Raw genomic sequence first — 19,517 nt, 5'->3', positions numbered from 1 at the left:
AAATACTGAGAAAGGCAAGAAAGTAGCTGAGTAAAGAGAACACTTGGAGAATATATGCTTAAACTTAAGTCTGCAAAAAAAACAAATGACTTGACAAATGATATCTATCATGTAAACCATTACCCAATAATTATTTTCCCTTCTCTTGCAGGAATTGAGAAGTTCAAAGGGCAGTACTTCCACAGTCGAGACTATAAGAACCCAGAGGGATTCACTGGAAAGAGAGTCATTATAATTGGCATTGGGAATTCTGGAGGGGATCTGGCTGTAGAGATTAGCCAAACAGCCAAGCAGGTTTGAATCACTCAATTATTATTTACGTTGCTTAACTCTAGCTTCAGTTTCTCCAAGGAAGCTGCAGGTGGACCCAACAGAGAATAGGGATACCTGCACATAGCCCTTCAGTGCCAGTGGCAAATATAGGGCTTCGTTTCATTACCTCAGTTGGCAACATGGTGATTGGTGCTAATAGAGGAGTTAAGGCTACCAGTTAGAGTTCCATTGTGCAACTAGCCTCACACCAAGGAACTGGATCAGCTAAAGTCTGGGCTCATTATCCTAATCAGGCATCTTCTCAGAGTGTGCCTCTGGCTTTGATAAAGACAAAGTAATTGCTGGGAGAGGTTGTTAGAAAGCAGTATTGAGAGCGAGGATCTTCAATTGGCCAGCAGAAGTGCTATGTTCTTACATAAAGGAAAGCACGCGTGATCATTGGAAACTTTTCACTCATAGGATGGTGCTTGAATTTTCCTTTACACTCCCCAAATGGAAAAAAGTATCAATTTTATCTTCCCAAAGACAATGTGGGTATCCGTATAGCGTCCAAACTGTAGCACATGCAAGCAGCTTGCCCTGGCCTTTGCATACAGTTAGGTAACTCAGATAACATTCATTCTAAAGCAATTATATCTCCTTGGCTTTTTGTTTTGTTTGTTTTGGTTTTTGTATAGCAGACTTTGAACTGAGAAGCAAGTGTCTTCACTATAAATTCCTGGAAAAAGACATGCCAATATTGTATTTTGTTATTAATGTCTGTGTTGAATCAAACTCTATTGGCAATAGGTAAATGTCTTGGTTGTTCTTTAGTAACTTTAATTAAGCCATGCTTCTCTATAAAGATGTTTTAAATTGTTTTATTTTAATTAGAAGCTTAGTGCTACAATTCTGTTAAATGACTCTTACTCAGCAACTTTGTTTGAAAAACACTTCTTCTCATTGCTATCCTCATCTATAACCACAAAAATTATTTCATATGATACTTCATAAATTAATTCAACAGACATTTATCAGGAAATAATCATATAAACAAGGATTAAAAATAATTAAAATAATTATATAAACAAGGGTTAAAACGTATGTGGGTGTTATGGTAGAGGAATGTGCAAAATGTGGAGTGGGGACCCATGGCGAGAGCCATCTTTAATATCATTGGCTTGTCAAATGGGCAGTTCTAAGGGAGCTTGGCCTTACCTGCTCTGGGGAATTGCAGGTTGCCACATAACAAAGCATTTCTGTGTGGGTACAGATAAGGTGGCTGTGTCTGTGAGAAAGCCTGGGAAAATGCAAAGGAAAACTATGTCTGCATAGCAGAGGCAATACTGTCACACCACTAATCCAAGCTGAAGAAACTCAATTGCTGAGTTCTAACTTTTTACTTTACTTGTAAATTGTATTCATGATGATTTGTTTATAAATCAAAAACTTTAAATGGACCTATATATTTCAGTATATCATGGAAGTTTTTCGTATAATTCTTGTAGATGCTTTTGTAAAGAGAAAACATTCCTTTTTTTCAATATTAATTTCATATAAGATTACACTGATTAAACAATTTTCCTTATAAATCTGATTTGTAAATGTTATTTGCTTAAAACAAGGTATAGATGGAAAACTGAAATAAGAAATATGACAGCCATTAAGCACTTATCAAGTGTTTACTATATACCACACCTTTTACAAAAACACTGCTTAATTATCACAACAGCCTTGTGATATATGTATTATTATTATTACTATTTCATAAATAGGAAATCTTTTCATTAGGGCTCTGAGCGTTTTCATTACTCAGCAGAAGTTATATAGCCAGCACACAAAATTGTTCAGTTTCTAAGACCATATATGCTCTTTCAACTGTGACTGTGGAAGTACATAATTATCAGAGTGCTTACAGTCACTTTAGGCGAGATAAGATTTGTGAAGTAAACAATTATCCCTCTGTAGACAGGTCATTTTAGACAAAAAGACTATGAAGCAATGTGCGTATATAACTTAAAATCTGGAAGCCATCTCCAGAGAGTTTCATAGTGTAGGAAAAGTGATTCTTTTGCCAGGTAACTGCATATCAAATCTTTATCAGTTCTGAACATGAACTTTAGCCAGAGGAGGACACAGAAAGACTGACTAGCTTCCTGTTGTTCCACTAGCAATCTTATTTTTCTCCATTAAATAATCAATCAAACATTTCTTAAGCACAGGCTTTGGAGTTAGTCAGACCTGGGTTGGAAATTCACCTCTGCCACTTACTAGCTCTGTGATCTCAGGCAAGTTATTCATCCTTTCCATGCCCCTCATCTATAACATGGGTGTAATAATACTTTCCTCAAGAGGTTGTTGTAATATAGATGAAGGACCTAGCACAATGACTTAAAGGTCACAAATCCCAATAAATGGAAGTGATGATAATCTGCTGTGGATGTGTAGGCTTTATCTCCTATCCTTGAGAAAACACATTTGAAGAGACAGAAATTAGGAGTGTAGAAAGTTTAATATCAATAAAAATGATAAATAGCAGGGGTTTTTGTAATAATGCCAACAATGTCAATGGCAAAAGAATGAGGGTTTTAGATTAAATGGTCTCCAGCTGCTTTCAACTTTACCAGTACATGATTTTTAATGAGTTCTACAGGTGATAAGTGCTAGAGAAATTCAGAGGATGGAGAGAAAATTGTCAGCCTGAATAGTCAGCGGTTTCTTCATGGAGGAGGCAGTCTTGATCTGGGTCTTAAAAATGAACAGGCTTCGCAGAGTTAAGAGGAAAGAAGGCATTTCAGGCAGGCATAATAGCACTAAACAGAAATACAACGGTGTATTAGAGCAAAACATATTCTTGGACAGTAGATACACCAATTTAATTCTAAGTTTAGTGTTTGGGAAGGAAAATGGCAGGAAACAAACATAAAAACCCACAAAGATTGTGCAGGGGCTAAAAAGCCAGACTAATGAGTTTGAACTCTTTTTTTTTTTTTTTTTGAGACGGAGTCTCACTCTGTTGCCCAGGCTGGAGTGCAGTGGTGCGATCTTGGCTCACTGCAAGCTCCGCCTCCCAGGTTGACGCCATTCTCCTGCCTCAGCCTCCCGAGTAGCTGGGACTACAGGCACCTGCAACCACGCCTGGCTAATTTTTTGTATTTTTAGTAGAGACGGGGTTTTTCAGTAGAGACGGGGTTTCACTGTGTTAGCCAGGATGGTCTCGATCTCCTGACCTCGTGATCCGCCCGCCTTGGCCTCCCAAAGTGCTGGGATTACAGGCGTGAGCCACCGCGCCGGGCCTGAAATGATTCTTGAAGAAAATGGGGGTGCTTTTGAAGGTTTACGAATCTGAGTGACAAAAGCAAACAATTTCTTCCATGCCCCAGGTTTTCCTCAGCACCAGGAGAGGGGCTTGGATCCTGAATCGTGTAGGGGACTACGGATATCCTGCTGATGTGTTGTTCTCTTCTCGACTTACACATTTTATATGGAAGATCTGTGGCCAATCATTAGCAAACAAATATTTGGAAAAAAAGATAAACCAAAGGTTTGACCATGAAATGTTTGGCCTGAAGCCTAAACACAGGTATGTTCCCAGGATGGGAGTGCAGGGATAGTGGCCAAAGCACAAGAATAAGGACTCTTCACACTGGCTAATAGTAAAGCCACCTCTACCCATACATTAAGAAAACCCACAGTGGCTGGGCATGGTGGCTCACGCCTGTAATCCCAGCACTCTGGGAGGCGGAGGCGGGTGGATCACCTGAGCTCAGGAGTTTGAGACCATCCTGGCCAACACGGTGAAACCCCATCTCTACTAAAAACACAAAATTAGCCAGGTGTGGTGGCACCTGTCTGTAGTCCCAGCTATTCAGGAGGCTGAGGCAGGAGAATCACCTGAGCCCTGGAGGCAGAGGTTGCAGTGAGCTGAGATTGCACCACTGCACTCCAGCCTGGGCAACAGACTCTGTCTCAAAAAGAAAAAAAAAAAAAGAAAAGAAAAGAAAAGAAAGCCTATAGACTCATAGAATCTGAAATCAGATTTCTAACTTGTACCCACAGATGTCCAAGATCTATTGGTCTGTGGGTTTTTAATCTAGAATTCTCTTTGGCAGTAACCCTTTTCTCATTCCCCCAGGTATCAGTTCTTTTTGCATGATACCCAACAACAAAATGATAGCTGAGGACAGTGCGTCATTTACTCATTGAGTACCTGTTATGAGCCAGGCATCATACATGGGCATGAAATACAGAGAGAAGACATAATAGTAATAGTAATAGAAATAACACTCACCTTTCTGAGGACTTTCTATAAGATAAGCACAGTGCTAAATGAGTTACATGCAGTATCTCACTTAATCCTGACAATAGCCCTATAAGTTGGTACTATTTTTGTTTCACAGTGAGGAGGTCTATGCAAACCTACCCCAAAGGCTGAGGAAGCTGAGAGGCTGAAGAAAGAAGCTGACAGATTCAGTTTCTTAGAAACATTTCATAGGGACTTATGAACAGAAGCCATGTCTGTCTCAGGCAGTGGTGAGACAAGATGGTAGATCCCCATACCATTACCTCCTGACCCAGGGATGATATACCACAGGGGAGGGGCACACATACTTCAGAGCGAATGGGTAGGAGTTTGCCCTAAGGGTGGGATTTACAGTAAGTACATACTATTAAACAACAGATTAACTGGAAATCTCAGAGGTATTCCCGGAACCAGGGTTGATCAGAAGTCAATATGGTAGATTAACTTCTAAGATGGAGTTGCTTTGGCCTCCACAATTTTTGATCTACATTTTACAAATATAAAAACTGAGATGTAGAGAAACTAAGTAATTTTCCCGAGGGCAACAGAAATAATAAATGGCAGACTCAAAAAATAGATCTTACCTTAAATACTCTAATGAGAAGAAAGAGGACAGATTATAATGAAGAAATACATACAGTGTTATGAAAGTACAAAGGATGGGGTCCTCAGAGAACCAGGGAGGGAAAACATTTCTAGAGGCTGATTTTAAATTTATTTTCCCTCCAACTTTTTATTTTTGAAAATGTTCAGATCTACAGAAAAGTTGCAAAATAATAAGTACAATGAGCACCCATATATCCTTCACCTGGATTCACCTGTTAAGTTTGCTATATTTGCTTCCTTTCCCCATCTCTGTAGATAGGTCCATACATATAGAGCATACATACACAAGTACATTTTTTTCTGAAACCATTTGAGTACGTTGCAGTCATTAAGACACTTTAAATACTTCAGTGTATATTGTATAAGAAAAAGGGCATTCTCCTACATAACCATCATATAATTATCACACGTGGGAAATTTAACATTGATAAAATACATTAATACATTGGCAATATCCCCAGTTGCCCTAATAGTATTTTTTATAGCTTTAAAAAAATCTTTTTAAATCTAGTATCCTGTCAGGTAATCAATCACACCATTACATTTAGTTGTCATGTCTCTTTAATCTCTCTTTTTATATATATATATTTTTATTATACTTTAAGTTCTAGGGTACATGTGCACAACGTGCAGGTTTGTTATATATGTATATATGTGCCATGTTGGTGTGCTGCACCCATTAACTTGTCATTTACATCCATTAACTTGTCATTTACATCAGATATATCTCCTAATGCTATGCTTCCCCACTCTTCCCACCCCACAACAGGCCCTGGTGTGTGATGTTCCCCTTCCTGTGTCCAAGTGTTCTCATTGTTCAGTTCCCACCTATGAGTGAGAACATGCAGTGTTTGGTTTTTTGTCCTTGCGATAGTTTGCTGAGAATGATGGTTTCTAGCTTCATCCATGTCTCTACAAAGGACATGAACTCATCATTTTTTATGGCTGCATAGTATTCCATGGTGTATATGTGCCACATTTTCTTAATCCAGTCTATCATTGTTGGACATTTGGGTTGGTTCCAAGTCCTTGCTATTGTGAATAGTGCCGCAATAAACATACGTGTGCATGTGTCTTTATAGCATCATGATTTATAATCCTTTGGGTATATACCCAGTAATGGGATGGTTGGGTCAAATGGTATTTCTAGTTCTTTTTGAGGAATCGCCACACTGTCTTCCACAATGGTTGAACTAGTTTACAGTCCCACCAACAGTGTAAAAGTGTTCCTATTTCTCCACATCCTCTCCAGCACCTGTTGTTTCCTGACTTTTTAATGATCGCCATTCTAACTGGTGTGAGATGGTAACTCATTGTGGTTTTGATTTGCATTTCTCTGATGGCCAGTGATGATGAGCATTTTTTCATGTGTCTGTTGGCTGCATAAATGTCTTCTTTTGAGAAGTGTCTGTTCATATCCTTCACCCACTTTTTGATGGGGTTGTTTGTTTTTTTCTTGTAAATTTGTATGAGTTCTTTGTAGATTCTGGATATTAGCCCTTTGTCAGATGAGTAGATTGCAAAAATTTTCTCCCATTTTATAGGTTGCCTGTTCACTTTGATGGTAGTTTCTTTTGCTGTGCAGAAGCTCTTTAGTTTAATTAGATCCCATTTGTCAATTTTGGCTTTTGTTGCCATGGCTTTTGGTGTTTTAGACATGAAGTCCTTGCCCATGCCTATGTCCTGAATGGTATTGCCTAGGTTTTCTTCTAGGGTTTTTATGGTTTTAGGTCTAACATTTAAGTCTTTAATCCATTTTGAATTAATTTTTGTATAAGGTGTAAGGAAGGGATCAAGTTTCAGCTTTGTACATATGGCTAGCCAGTTTTCCCAGCACCATTTGTTAAATAGGGAATCCTTTCCCCATTTCTTGTTTTTGTCAGGTTTGTCAAAGATCAAATAGTTGTAGATATGTGGTATTATTTCTGAGGGCTCTGTTCTGTTCCATTGGTCTATATAAGAAATAATTCTCTCTTTGACATGGGCTTTCTTTTTAAGAACCCAAGGCATTGTTTTGTAGAGAGTCTCTAAATTTAGACTTGCATAATTTTTTTCCTTTATTATATTCAGGTTAAATGTTTTTGACACATATACTACATAGGACATGTTGATCTTAGTGGGTCACATCAAGAACCACATTATGTCAGTTTATCTCACAGTAATAATGCTAAATTTGACCACTTAGATAAGGTGGTATAGATACCATCAAGTTTCTCCACTATAAAGATATTTTTTCCCGTTGAAGTTAATCAGTGGGGTGACATTTGGAAACTGTGTTTCCTAAAAACCTTTCACCTAATTATTTTAGCATGCATGTTTTTGGTGGTTGCAAAATAAATTGAGGCTTTGTTGAATAATAGGAGATAGCCAAACAAATAGAGCAAGGGTATAGCATTCTAATTATAAAGACAAAGTCTTGGAACAGCAAAAAATACATTATGCTCCAGGACTTGCATGTAGTCTGGTATGGCTGGACTATATAGCAAAGATGGAAGAGTGACTGAATGTATCTCCAGGTTCATCAGGCATGAAAACCTTTGGTTCCTCCGCGGTCTTCTGAGCGGTCACGTGAACGGCTTCCTGCAGGCTGGCCATGGCGCTTCAAGTTCCCAAGGCTCCGGGCTTCGCCCAGATGCTCAAGGAGGGAGCGAAACACTTTTCAGAATTAGAAGAGGCTGTGTATAGAAACATACAAGCTTGCAAGGAGCTTGCCCAAACCACTCGTACAGCATATGGACGAAATGGAATGAAAAAAATGGTTATCAACCACTTGGAGAAGTTGTTTGTGACAAATGATGCAGCGACTATTTTAAGAGAACTAGAAGTACAGCATCCTGCTGCAAAAATGACTGTAATGGCTTCTCATATGCAAGAGCAAGAAGTTGGAGATGGCACAAACATTGTTCTGGTATTTGCCGGAGCTCTCCTGGAATTAGCTGAAGAACTTCTGAGGATTGGCCTGTCAGTTTCAGAGGTCATAGAAGGTTATGAAATAGCTTGCAGAAAAGCTCATGAGATTCTTCCTAATTTGGTACGTTGTTCTGCAAAAAACCTTCGAGATGTTGATGAAGTCTCATCTCTACTTCGTACCTCTGTAATGTGTAAACAATATGGTAATGAAGTATTTCTGGCCAAGCTTATTGTTCAGGCATGCGTATCTATTTTTCCTGATTCTGGCCATTTCAAAGTTGATAACATCAGAGTTTGTAAAATTCTGGGCTGTGGTATCACTTCCTCTTCAGTATTGCATGGCATGGTTTTTAAGAAGGAAACAGAAGGTGATGTACATCTGTCAAAGATGCAAAAATAGCAGTGTACTCTTGTCCTTTTGATGGCATGATAACAGAAACTAAGGGAACAGTGTTGATAAAGACTGATGAAGAATTGATGAATTTAAGTAAGGGAGAAGAAAATCTCATGGATGCATAAGTCAAAGCTATTGCTGATACTGGTGCAAATGTTGTAGTAACAGGTGGCAAAGTGGCAGACATGGCTCTTCATTATGCAAACAAATATAATATGATGTTAGTGAAGCTAAACTCAAAATGGGATGTCCGAAGACTCTGTAAAACAGTTGGTGCTACAGCTCTTCCTAGATTGACACCTCCTGTCCTTGAAGAAATGGGACACTGAGACAGTGTTTACCTCTCAGAAGTTGGAGATACTCAGGTGGTGGTTTTTAAGCATGAAAAGGAAGATGGCATCATTTCTACCATAGTACTTCGGGGCTCTACAGACAATCTGATGGATGACATAGAAAGGGCAGTAGATGATGGTGTTAATACTTTCAAAGTTCTTACAAGGGATAAACGTCTTGTACCCAGAGGTGGAGCAACAGAAATTGAATTAGCCAAACAGATCACATCATATGGAGAGACATGTCCTGGACTTGAACAGTACGCTATTAAGAAGTTTGCTGAGGCGTTTGAAGCTATTCCCCGTGCACTGGCAGAAATACTCTGGAGAAAACTCTGGAGTTAAGGCCAATGAAGTAATCTCTAAACTTTATGCAGTACCTCAAGAAGGAAATAAAAATGTTGGATTAGATACTGAGGCTGTAGTCCCTGCTGTAACGGACATGTTGGAAGCTGGTGTTCTAGATACTTACCTGGGAAAACACTGGTCTATCAAACTCGCTGCTAATGCTGCAGTCACTGTACTTAGAGTGGGTCAGGTAATCATGGCAAAACCAGATGGTGGGCCCAAGCCTCCAAGTGGGAAGAAAGACTGGGATGATGACCAAAATGATTGAAATTGGCTTAATTTTTACTGTAGGTGAAGGCTGTATTTGTAGTAGTATTCTAAGAATCGCGTGATGTTTTCTTATTCTCCTTACATTAAGAGGTATTTTGTGTTTGTATTCTTGGCTGGATGTTATAATAAACATATTGTTACTGTCAAAAAAAAAAAAGGAAACCTTTGGTCTACTAAATAAAAAGTATGGAATGAAGACAGTCCAAAGCCATTCAAAGATTTAGGCAAGTGAGTAACATAATCATACCTACATTTTAGAAAGACCATTTTGAAAATGGTGTGGGAGTGGGATGAGACAGGAGGTCCTAAAGACAATTGTATCATCTGGTTGAGATAACAAGGAGTAGATAAAACTATCTTGGGGATGTTAAGAGGAGAAAGGGAAAAGGCTTGGTGACCAGATATATAACTCATGGTTTTGTGGGTTGGGCAACTATATGGATGGATGGTGGTACTGCTGGTGAAAAGGAGTAGGTTTGGAGAAAAAGATGAAATCATGAGGTTGGAATGCAGAACACAATCGACCTAGTGTCAAAGCATAACTAAATGCAACAAACCAGTAGTGGTAATTTAAACATATAAAATTCCTGAGGCCAGGACAGCTCTGTCTGAAGATGAGTTAATATAGTATTCAGGCATTAAGACTACTTTTTAGGCCAGGTGCTGTGGCTCACGCCTGTAATCCCAGCACTTTGGGAGGCTGAAGTGGGAGGATCACGAGGTCAGGAGTTCGAGACCAGCTTGGCCAACATGGTGAAACCCTGTCTCTACTAAAAATACAAAAATTAGCCAGGCATGGTGGCAGGTGCCTGTAGTCCAAGCTACTCGGGAGGCTGAGACAGCAGAATCACTTGAACCTGGGAGGTGGAGGTTGCAGTGAGCCAAGATCATGCCACTGCACTCCAGCTTCGGCAAAAGAAGTAGAGACTCTGTCTCAAAAAAAAAAAAAAAAAAAAAAAGAACTGCTTTTTAGAAAGCTCCACGATACTAGAAACCAGCCTTATTATTATTAAAAGTAATGGCAAAAAAATAAGCAATTACTTTTGCACCAACCCAATGTTTCCAGTATCCGTATCCTACGCTGTCCCTAGGAAACAATAACAAGCCCGAAGTATACCAAGATAATTCACTGAAAACAACTTTGAGATAAATTCTAAAATCCTAGGCTGTGTATCATTGGACAAGTCACATAACTTTTCTAGGCCTCAATTCCCTCATTTATAAAACCTGGATAATGACACCTATTCTGCTTCCTTCATAGAGTTTTGTGAGAGTCAAGTTAATGCATGTAAAAGCAACTTATAAACTGTAAATTGCTACATACATGTAATTTATCATACAGTTTGGAAAACAGTGGCCTAAACTTAGCTCTTGAGCCTTTGAAACTGGAAATGAGACTGAACAGAATGTTGACAGCTTAGTTCTGTCAGACTTCTTGGTATGAGAATACAAACTATTGACCTGTGGCCTTATCATATCACACACAGAATATTATTGTTACTTGAGAAATCATATATGCACTCCTCAAACAACACTCTTCCTTCACTCCTCCAACACTCTCCCTTTCAGTGCATCCAGGGTCCAACTTCAGATCTGATCTTGATCTGTGCCAACCTAGTATAAATTAGACCTTTTCCAAACTTCATGCATAGACCAAGGGGAAGATTATTGGCATCCTGTTTACCTCCACCAAAGCAAAATTTTACTTATGTGGTACTGATTTCTCTTTCTCTCATTTCTCCACTTGATCTTTGTCACGACTCACAGAGCTCTGAGTCAGCATCCAACCTTAAATGATGACCTGCCAAATCGTATCATTTCTGGCTTGGTGAAAGTGAAAGGAAATGTGAAGGAATTCACGGAGACAGCTGCCATATTTGAGGATGGCTCCAGGGAGGATGACATTGATGCTGTTATCTTTGCCACAGGCTATAGCTTTGACTTTCCATTTCTGGAAGATTCCGTCAAAGTGGTCAAAAACAAGATATCCCTGTATAAAAAGGTCTTCCCTCCTAACCTGGAAAGGCCAACTCTTGCAATCATAGGCTTGATTCAGCCCTTAGGAGCCATTATGCCCATTTCAGAGCTCCAAGGACGCTGGGCCACTCAGGTATTTAAAGGTAAGTGACCATGCAAATAGACTACTTAATTACTTGGTGATATGTTTACCTCTGTTTAGGTACTTGTTTTTAAATAGCTAGAGATAGCATGTATGATTACAACAGTGCCTAGCACAAAGTTAGTACAGAAAAATATATTTTTGAGTGAATCTAAAGTAGCAATTTATAACCATGGACATACATCATACCTGGGAAATTTTTCCAAGCTATGCATGCTTTGACACCATCCTTGCTGATGCTTATTTAGTTAGTCTGGGGTGGGGCAGTCATAACATCTTTGAGAAAAATATTCCCCAGTAATTCCAATGTGTACTCCAAATTAGAATTTACTCATCTAGATTTTAGGCAACTGGCATATATTTCTGAAGTAAAATAGTTTTATCTTCTTTCATTATAGATAAAAATAAAATATAGAAATAGTATGACTTTATTTCGGCCGAAAATTAAGACCTGGTTGCAGACTAGTCAATATTGTAGGATATTCAATCCCCCAAATTCTCACTTTTCTCCTTTTATGTCCCCTCTTTCAGTTTTGGCTAGGAATATATGAAAAAAAAAGGGGAATAGGTTTCATATGAGTCAGTAGAATGATATAGCTTCCAAAGAAATAATTAAATCTAGCATCATTAAAAAACTATAATGTTCTAGAACATTACAACTGTTGTTCTCTAAACTGGCCAGACCACACCTAATGATACATTTTAAAAGTGAAGCTGGAGTGCGTTTAATAAGGAGAGAGAGAAAAATTTTTTAAGGGATTTGAAAACATGCCATCTGAAGTACAACTGAAAAAGCCGGAGAGAGATTTAGCCTGGAGAAGATAAACTTCAGGAGAGATATGAGAATTTCCTTCAAATATCTGAAGGGAAGGCACATGGAAGAAGGATTAGATTTACTCAGTATAGCTTCAAAGGGTCAAACCAGAATCAAGGAGTGAAATCTTGAGGGTTACACATCAGCTTACCATTAAGAAAAAAATCCAAAACCTTTTTCCTATCAGCCAATGCCATTTCATGATGGAACCAGCTGCCTCTGAAATTCTAAGCAGAAAAGGAAAAGGATGCCAAATGACTGAATGCTCACTGGGCCGGGGCAGGAGAGGGGGAAGGTATGGAGTAGATTCAAGCCTCAGGATAGAGAGAAACAAGATGATGTTTAAGGGTCCTTCTAAAGAAGAAATTCACTGATTCTATGGTTGTTATAACAAAATTTGCTATTGTTACTAGCATTTAATTAAAACTACTCAGAGTTCCTGTTGGAATTACACCTTTTTTGTTTTCACTAGTGAAAATCTTCACAGTTGCAGAGAAAAAAAGAACCAATGGTATTACAGTTGATAGTTCAACAACCTTTCTAAATTTCCCCAAATTTCTATTACTTCCAGTCCTATCCAGCAGATTATGTACTACCTGAGAGAACTATACAAGTAGTCAAACGCAAATAGCCCATTAAGTTGGCCTAATTCTAGTCATATTAAAGTGATCTTTTAATTGGGTCAATTACATAAGCGGAGAACAGTTCATTAAAACAGGCCACAGCATCTTAGTATACTTTAAGCAACTGGGACTCTTTTCCAAGACCAAGTGAATTCTTGAGAGGAAATAGAGAAAATGAGTATTTGCAAGAGTCTGCATTATGGTTATGAGATTATGGGATCTTAGGGAAAATGTACAAAAAGCCCAGCTTCCTATGCTAGCAGAAGCCTAGTGCTAATTCCTCCAGCTTTTTTCTAACACCTGGAAGGAAGAAATCTTCAGAATTCTCTAACTTTACCAGACTTCCAACAGGAACTCTGGGTTTTTTATTCTGTCCATGGCCAATCTGTCTGCCTCCCACATTCTTGCCTTTCTCTTCCCTGAATTATCCCTTCACTATGCCAATTTTAAACCCTTTGGATTAGCTTGTTTTTCCCATTTTTTTCATGTCTGCCCAACAAAGCCTGCCTCCTTCCTTGTCTGTTCCCTACCAAGCCCCATTTTCCTTCTTCTTCTGTTCTCTGGAATTATTGTTCTCTTGTCAAGAAAATATTCTACTCTTTTCTAGAACACTGAATTTACTTCCTTGCCTTGACTGAAATGAAACATAGTTTCTGTTTTGATTGCGTCTTTTGCAGCCCTTGCAAGTGTTTTATTTTCACTCAGCAACTTTCTTTCCTTCAAAACTATATCAAGTTACACCAAATCTCTGGATCACAAGAAGTCATTATGTCATAGGCTGGCATTAAAGTTCCTCCACAAATTGGATACAACCTCCAATTTCAGGCCCATCTTTCTTTCTTTTTTTTTTTTTTTTTTTTTTTTTGAGATGCAGTCTCGCTCTGTCGCCCAGGCTGGAGTGCAGTGGCGCTATCTCGGCCCACTGCAAGTTCCACCTTCTGGGTTCAGGCCATTCTACTGCCTCAGCCTCCCCAGTAGCTGGGACTACAGGCGCCCGCCACCATGCCCGGCTAGTTTTTTTGTGTTTTTAATACAGACGGGGTTTCACCATGTTAGCCAGGATGGTCTCCATCTCTTGACCTCGTGATCCGCCTGCCTCAGCCTCCCAAAGTGCTGGGATTACAGGCATGAGTCACTGTACCCGGCCTCAGGCCCATCTTTCACTAGTCTTTACCATACTTCCTACAATACTCTAGATGCACTGGATGACGTACCCACTAAGCAGCAAACACAGCAGGTACCCTTGTACCCTGTGCTTTTGCTTCCACTGTGCTTTCTTCTTGATATGCCCTCCTTTTACTTTTTATTTCTATAGGAAAAGTCTATGCATATTTCTTCCCTCCCTTTGTAATATAGTGATAGCTCCTTAAGTAAAGGACTCATGTTTATTTGCCTTTGTATTGCAAGCCTAGACCACTGCCTAGCACATAAGAGGTATCTAATAAACATCTATTCTAAGAAATGTCAGTTTAGCCTTGAGGTAAATTAAATTCTAAATTCTGATGTAGAAACTTCTTATTTGAGGATCTCAGCTTATGGGCTACCTTAGCCAATTTCCAGTTATGTTAAAAGCCTGAACTGGACTGAAATTGCAGAATGGGAGCCAGATCTCTTTTCTCTCATAACATTAGCTATACACTGAAATATGCAGGAGCAAGTCAGGATTACACAGATACAACCTGCTTTAGGCTGACAGCAGACTGAAGGCCTACCACCACAGAACTCTAATTCAGACTCTCTTCCTTCCCACCTTGTCTTGGAACCCTTGGAAGATCTCTGAACTTCAGTTCCTCACTGTTCTTCAACATTCTTCAGATAACATATACTGACCTTTTAGTATGTACCAGGCCTTCTGCTAGGGGCTGGAGAAGCAAATATGACCATACAGAAAATCCCTATCTTTCTGGAATGCAGAGCCAAGCAAGGAAGACTGTGTTAGCCCATTCTCATGCTGCTATAAAGAACTGCCTGAGGCTGAGTAGTTTCTAAAGGAAAGAGGTTTAATTCACTCACAGTTCTGCATGGCTGGGGAGGCCTCAGGAAACTTACAATCATGGCAGAAGGAACTTCTTCACAGGGTGGCAGGAGAGAGAATGAGTGCTGAGTGAAAGGGAAAGCCCCGTATAAAACCATCAGATCTCGTGAGAACTCACTCAGTATCATGAGAACAGCATGAGCAGTATGAGAGTAACCACCCCATGATTAAATCACCTCCCACCAGGCCCCTCCCATGACACATGGGGATTGTGGGACCCAAAATTCAAGATAAGATTTGGGTGGGGACACAGCCAAACCATATCAAAGACAGACAAGTAAACAGACGCTTAATGATTTGTTCATTCAGCAGATATTTAACTATATCCTAAACAAGTGCTCCAGTAGCAATGCAGAAGAGCTGCCATGAGAGCAGTGGGCAATAAGTACCCAATTCTCCCTACAACTACATAGGAATTTACTAAAAGGACAAGGAAATATTGACCATAGAGGGGAAATAATCACTACTGTTTATGCAAAGTTAGATGAAAGTGACAGAACAAATAGAGTTCTGGGAACTGCAAGTAGTTCAGAATGCTGGTAAAGTGTTATAGGAATGAAGGAAAATGAAACTAGAAATATTCACAGGCAATATCAAGAGTTTGCATTTAAGGTACAAGTTGGAGAACCACTGAAGGATTTTAACTGGAAGAGGAGTCAAATCAGATCTCCAGTTTAGAAGATATGTTAGAGAGGAGTGAAATGGGAAATAGGTCAGTACGAGCCTGTGGTAAAAGTCTCAGTAAGACAGCATGAGAGCTTTAAACCAAGGTAATGACACTCTAAAGGAATTGGAGGAGCCAGACTTAAATGAAATTTCACAGGCAAATCTGAAGAATTTGGTGACAGAAAGCATGTTGGAGAAGAGAGACAGAAAAGAATCTGTTCAGGTGTTGAGGCCATTCATTGGAATTGGGAAACTAAGACAGGGAGCAAAGACATGGAGGGAGATAAGAAATATGGTAAAGCTAATGTGTCTAAATAAGGAAACACTGCAAAAACAAAATTTATGAATTAAGACATAACTGTACCACAGAGTATACACGTAAAAAGATGTATACATCTTTTTAAAATTTTTTAATTTTTTTAAATTTTTTCACCCCATGAGCTCTAGACTAAGATGTATATACCTCTTTATCTATCTATATATAGACAGATAGGGTAATAGATAGGGTTTTTTGTTGTTTTTTTCTTTCTTTTATGAATTGGGTGTCTCCCACAATCAAGAAATATACCTCCTCCTTCATGTTTCTAGCTAATAGAAGTAAAACTTGTGGTTGTGTAGAAGTAATTTGGAAATTGACTCTCAAAACGCTTATTTTGAGTATCCGAAGAGACCTATGATTAAGCTTAAATGAAGCATTTCAGTGTTTCCTAATTGATTTATGATGATAAATAATAATTCCCATGGCTAAAATGTAAAAACACATGGAAAACAACAGAAGGCTATTTGAGAGTGATGAACTTCTGAGTTCCATATTTTAAGAGGGATACACCAGGATAGTTATTAGAGTATGCTTAGTGAAGGGCAACCAAGATGGCAGAGAATGTGAAAACCATTATATGGGAAACATGTACTGTTTAGCCTGATAATGAGAAGACTTAAAGGAGTTATGACAATCATTTCCAAATGTTTCAAGAGCTGTCATGTATTAACATTAAACTCTGTGGCTCCAGAAAGCAGAGCTTGGTCCAGTGGTGCAAATGCAAAGAGTCAGATCTTGGGGTCAATAAAAACAATAATGTTCCAGCAGCCAGAGCAGTCAAATAATTATATAATCACCTCAGATATAATTATTATAGATACCCATCACCAGTGATGTTTAAAGAGGAATGAGATAACCACTAGGTTAGAGTACTTGTAGAAAGAATGCTTGTATCAGGTAAAATATATTGCCATTCTGAAATTCCATATTCCACAATTTTATGGAGTGACACCTTAGGACTGGATGTGGCCAAAATCTTCTACATGGCATAGTCCCTAGTTATAGGGGCATACAACTAATTGTTTAAGCTTAGCATTGTTCATACTGGCTTAAATACTATTAAGCCTTAGTCTAGCCCTGTCCTTGGTGTATAATTCCTACAACTGGAACTGTTTGTGCATCTTACTTAAATTTATCAGTTAATATTAGGTATTATGAGTTCCCCTTGGCCTTAACCCCTACTCTTATCAAAGAAACATGTTTAGAAAATGAAGCTTATCTTCCACAGGACTTTAGGCATAAAATGTGATTAAGATTTATTTTGGCTGGGCATGGTGGCTCATGCCTGTAATCCCAGCACCTTGGGATGCAGAGACGGGTGGATCATCTGAGGTCAGGAGTTCGAGACCAGCCTGACCAATATGGTGAAACCTCGTCTCTACTAAAACTACAAAAAAAAATTATTTGGGTTTGGTAGGATATCAGTGATGGAAGATGAAAGGAATGAAATGAAGTGAGAAGGGAAGTTTAGAGAAAAAAGAATAAAAAGAAACGAACAAAGCATCCAAGGAATATGGGACTATGTGAAAAGACCAAATCTACGTCGGATTGGTGAACCTGAAAGTGACGGGGAGAATGGAACCAAGTTGGAAAACACTCTGCAGGATATTATCCAGGAGAACTTCCCCAATCTAGCAAGGCAGGCCAACATTCAGATTCAGGAAATACAGAGAACGCCACAAAGATACTCCTCAAGAAGAGCAACTCCAAGACACATAATTGTCAGATTCACCAAAGTTGAAATGAAGGAAAAAATGTTAAGGGCAGCCAGAGAGAAAGGTCGGGTTACCCACAAAGGGAAGCCCATCAGACTAACAGCAGATCTCTCGGCAGTAACTCTACAAGCCAGAAGAGAGTGGGGGCCAATATTCAACATTCTTAAAGAAAAGAATTTTCAACCCAGAATTTCATATCCAGCCAAACTAAGCTTCATAAGTGAAGGAGACATAAAATACTTTACAGACAAGCAAATGCTGAGAGATTTTGTGACCACCAGGCCTGCTCTAAAAGAGCTCCTGAAGGAAGCACTAAACATGGAAAGGAACAACCGGTACCAGCCACTGCAAAAACATGCCAAAATGTAAAGACTGTCAAGGCTAGGAAGAAACTGCATCAACTAACAAGCAAAATAACCAGCTAACATCATAATCACAGAACCAAATTCACACATAACAATATTAACTTTAAATGTAAATGGGCTAAATGCTCCAATTAAAATACACAGACTGGCAAATTGGATAAAGAGTCAAGACCCAACAGTGTGCTGTATTCAGGAAACCCATCTCATGTGCAGAGACACACATAGGCTCAAAATAAAGGGATGGAGGAAGATCTACCAAGCAAATCGAAAACAAAAAAAGGCAGGGGTTGCAATCCTAGTCTCTGATAAAACAGACTTTAAACCAGCAAAGATCTAAAGAGACAAAGAAGGCCATTAAATAATGGTAAAGGGATCAATTCAACAAGAAGACCTAACTATCCTAAATATATATGCACCCAATGCAGGAGCACCCAGATTCATAAAGCAAGTCCTTAGTGACCTACAAAGAGACTTAGACTCCCACGCAATAATAATGGGAGACTTTAACACCCCACTGTCAACATTAGACAGATCAACGAGACAGAAGGTTAACAAGGATACCCAGGAATTGAACTCAGCTCTGCACCAAGCAGACCTAATAGACATCTACAGAACTCTCCACCCCAAATCAACGGAATATACATTTTTTTCAGCACCACACCACACCTATTGCAAAATTGATCACATAGTTGGAAGTAAAGCACTCCTCAGCAAATGTAAAAGAACAGAAATTATAACAAACTGTCTCTCAGACCACAGTGCAATGAAACTAGAACTCAGGACTAAAAAACTCACTCAAAACCACTCAACTACATGGAAACTGAACAACCTGCTCCTGAATGACTACTGGGTACATAACGAAACGAAAGCAGAAATAAAGATGTTCTTTGAAACCAATGGGAACAAAGACACAACATACCAGAATCTCTGGAACACATTTAAAGCAGTGTGTAGAGGGAAATTTATAGCACTAAATGCCCACAAGAGAAAGCAGGAAAGATCCAAAATTGACACCCTAACATCACAATTAAAAGAACTAGAAAAGCAAGAGCAAACACATTCAAAAGCTAGAAGAAGGCAAGAAATAACTAAAATCAGAGCAGAACTGAAGGAAATTAAGTCACAAAAAACCCTTCAAAAAATTAATGAATCCAGGAGCTGGTTTTTTGAAAGGATCAACAAAATTGATAAACTGCTAGCAAGACTAATAAAGAAGAAAAGAGAAGAATCAAATAGATGCAGTAAAAATGATAAAGGGGATATCACCACCGATCCCACAGAAATACAAACTACCATCAGAGAATACTATAAACACCTCTACACAAATAAACTAGAAAATCTAGAAGAAACGGATAAATTCCTCAACACATACACCCTCCCAAGACTAAACCAGGAAGAAGCTGAATCTCTGAATAGACCAATAACAGGCTCTGAAATTGTGGCAAT

General features: G+C 38.9%; 2 protein-coding genes and 1 pseudogene across 17 annotated transcripts in view; 2 read left to right on the top strand and 1 right to left on the bottom strand.

Annotated features, from left to right (window-relative positions):
* The window catches only part of CHD1L (chromodomain helicase DNA binding protein 1 like), a 123,016-nt gene that overhangs the window by 83,076 nt on the left and 20,423 nt on the right, over positions 1-19,517 (bottom strand). The window lies entirely within an intron of this gene.
* Positions 1-19,517, top strand: part of FMO5 (flavin containing dimethylaniline monoxygenase 5) — a 42,980-nt gene that overhangs the window by 14,598 nt on the left and 8,865 nt on the right. For 10 of the 16 annotated variants that reach the window (NM_001144829.3, XM_005272947.6, XM_017000802.3 and 7 more), the window contains 3 exons: positions 152-294; positions 3,636-3,835; positions 11,183-11,535. In NM_001144829.3, coding sequence (NP_001138301.1) covers positions 152-294; positions 3,636-3,835; positions 11,183-11,535 — 696 coding nt within the window. Of the gene's footprint in view, positions 1-151; positions 295-3,635; positions 3,836-7,677; positions 9,612-11,182; positions 11,536-19,517 lie in introns of those variants that run through there. The other 6 variants (XM_047416285.1, XM_047416274.1, XM_047416292.1 and 3 more) reach the window with 2 other exon arrangements.
* On the top strand, positions 7,703-9,563 carry CCT8P1 (chaperonin containing TCP1 subunit 8 pseudogene 1; annotated as a pseudogene).

Source organism: Homo sapiens, chromosome 1 (assembly GCF_000001405.40).
Source record: "Homo sapiens chromosome 1, GRCh38.p14 Primary Assembly".
Classification (NCBI taxonomy): Eukaryota; Metazoa; Chordata; class Mammalia; order Primates; family Hominidae; genus Homo; species Homo sapiens.
The sequence above is the reverse complement of the archived record's forward strand: the minus strand, read 5'-3'. Positions and strand labels throughout refer to the sequence as shown.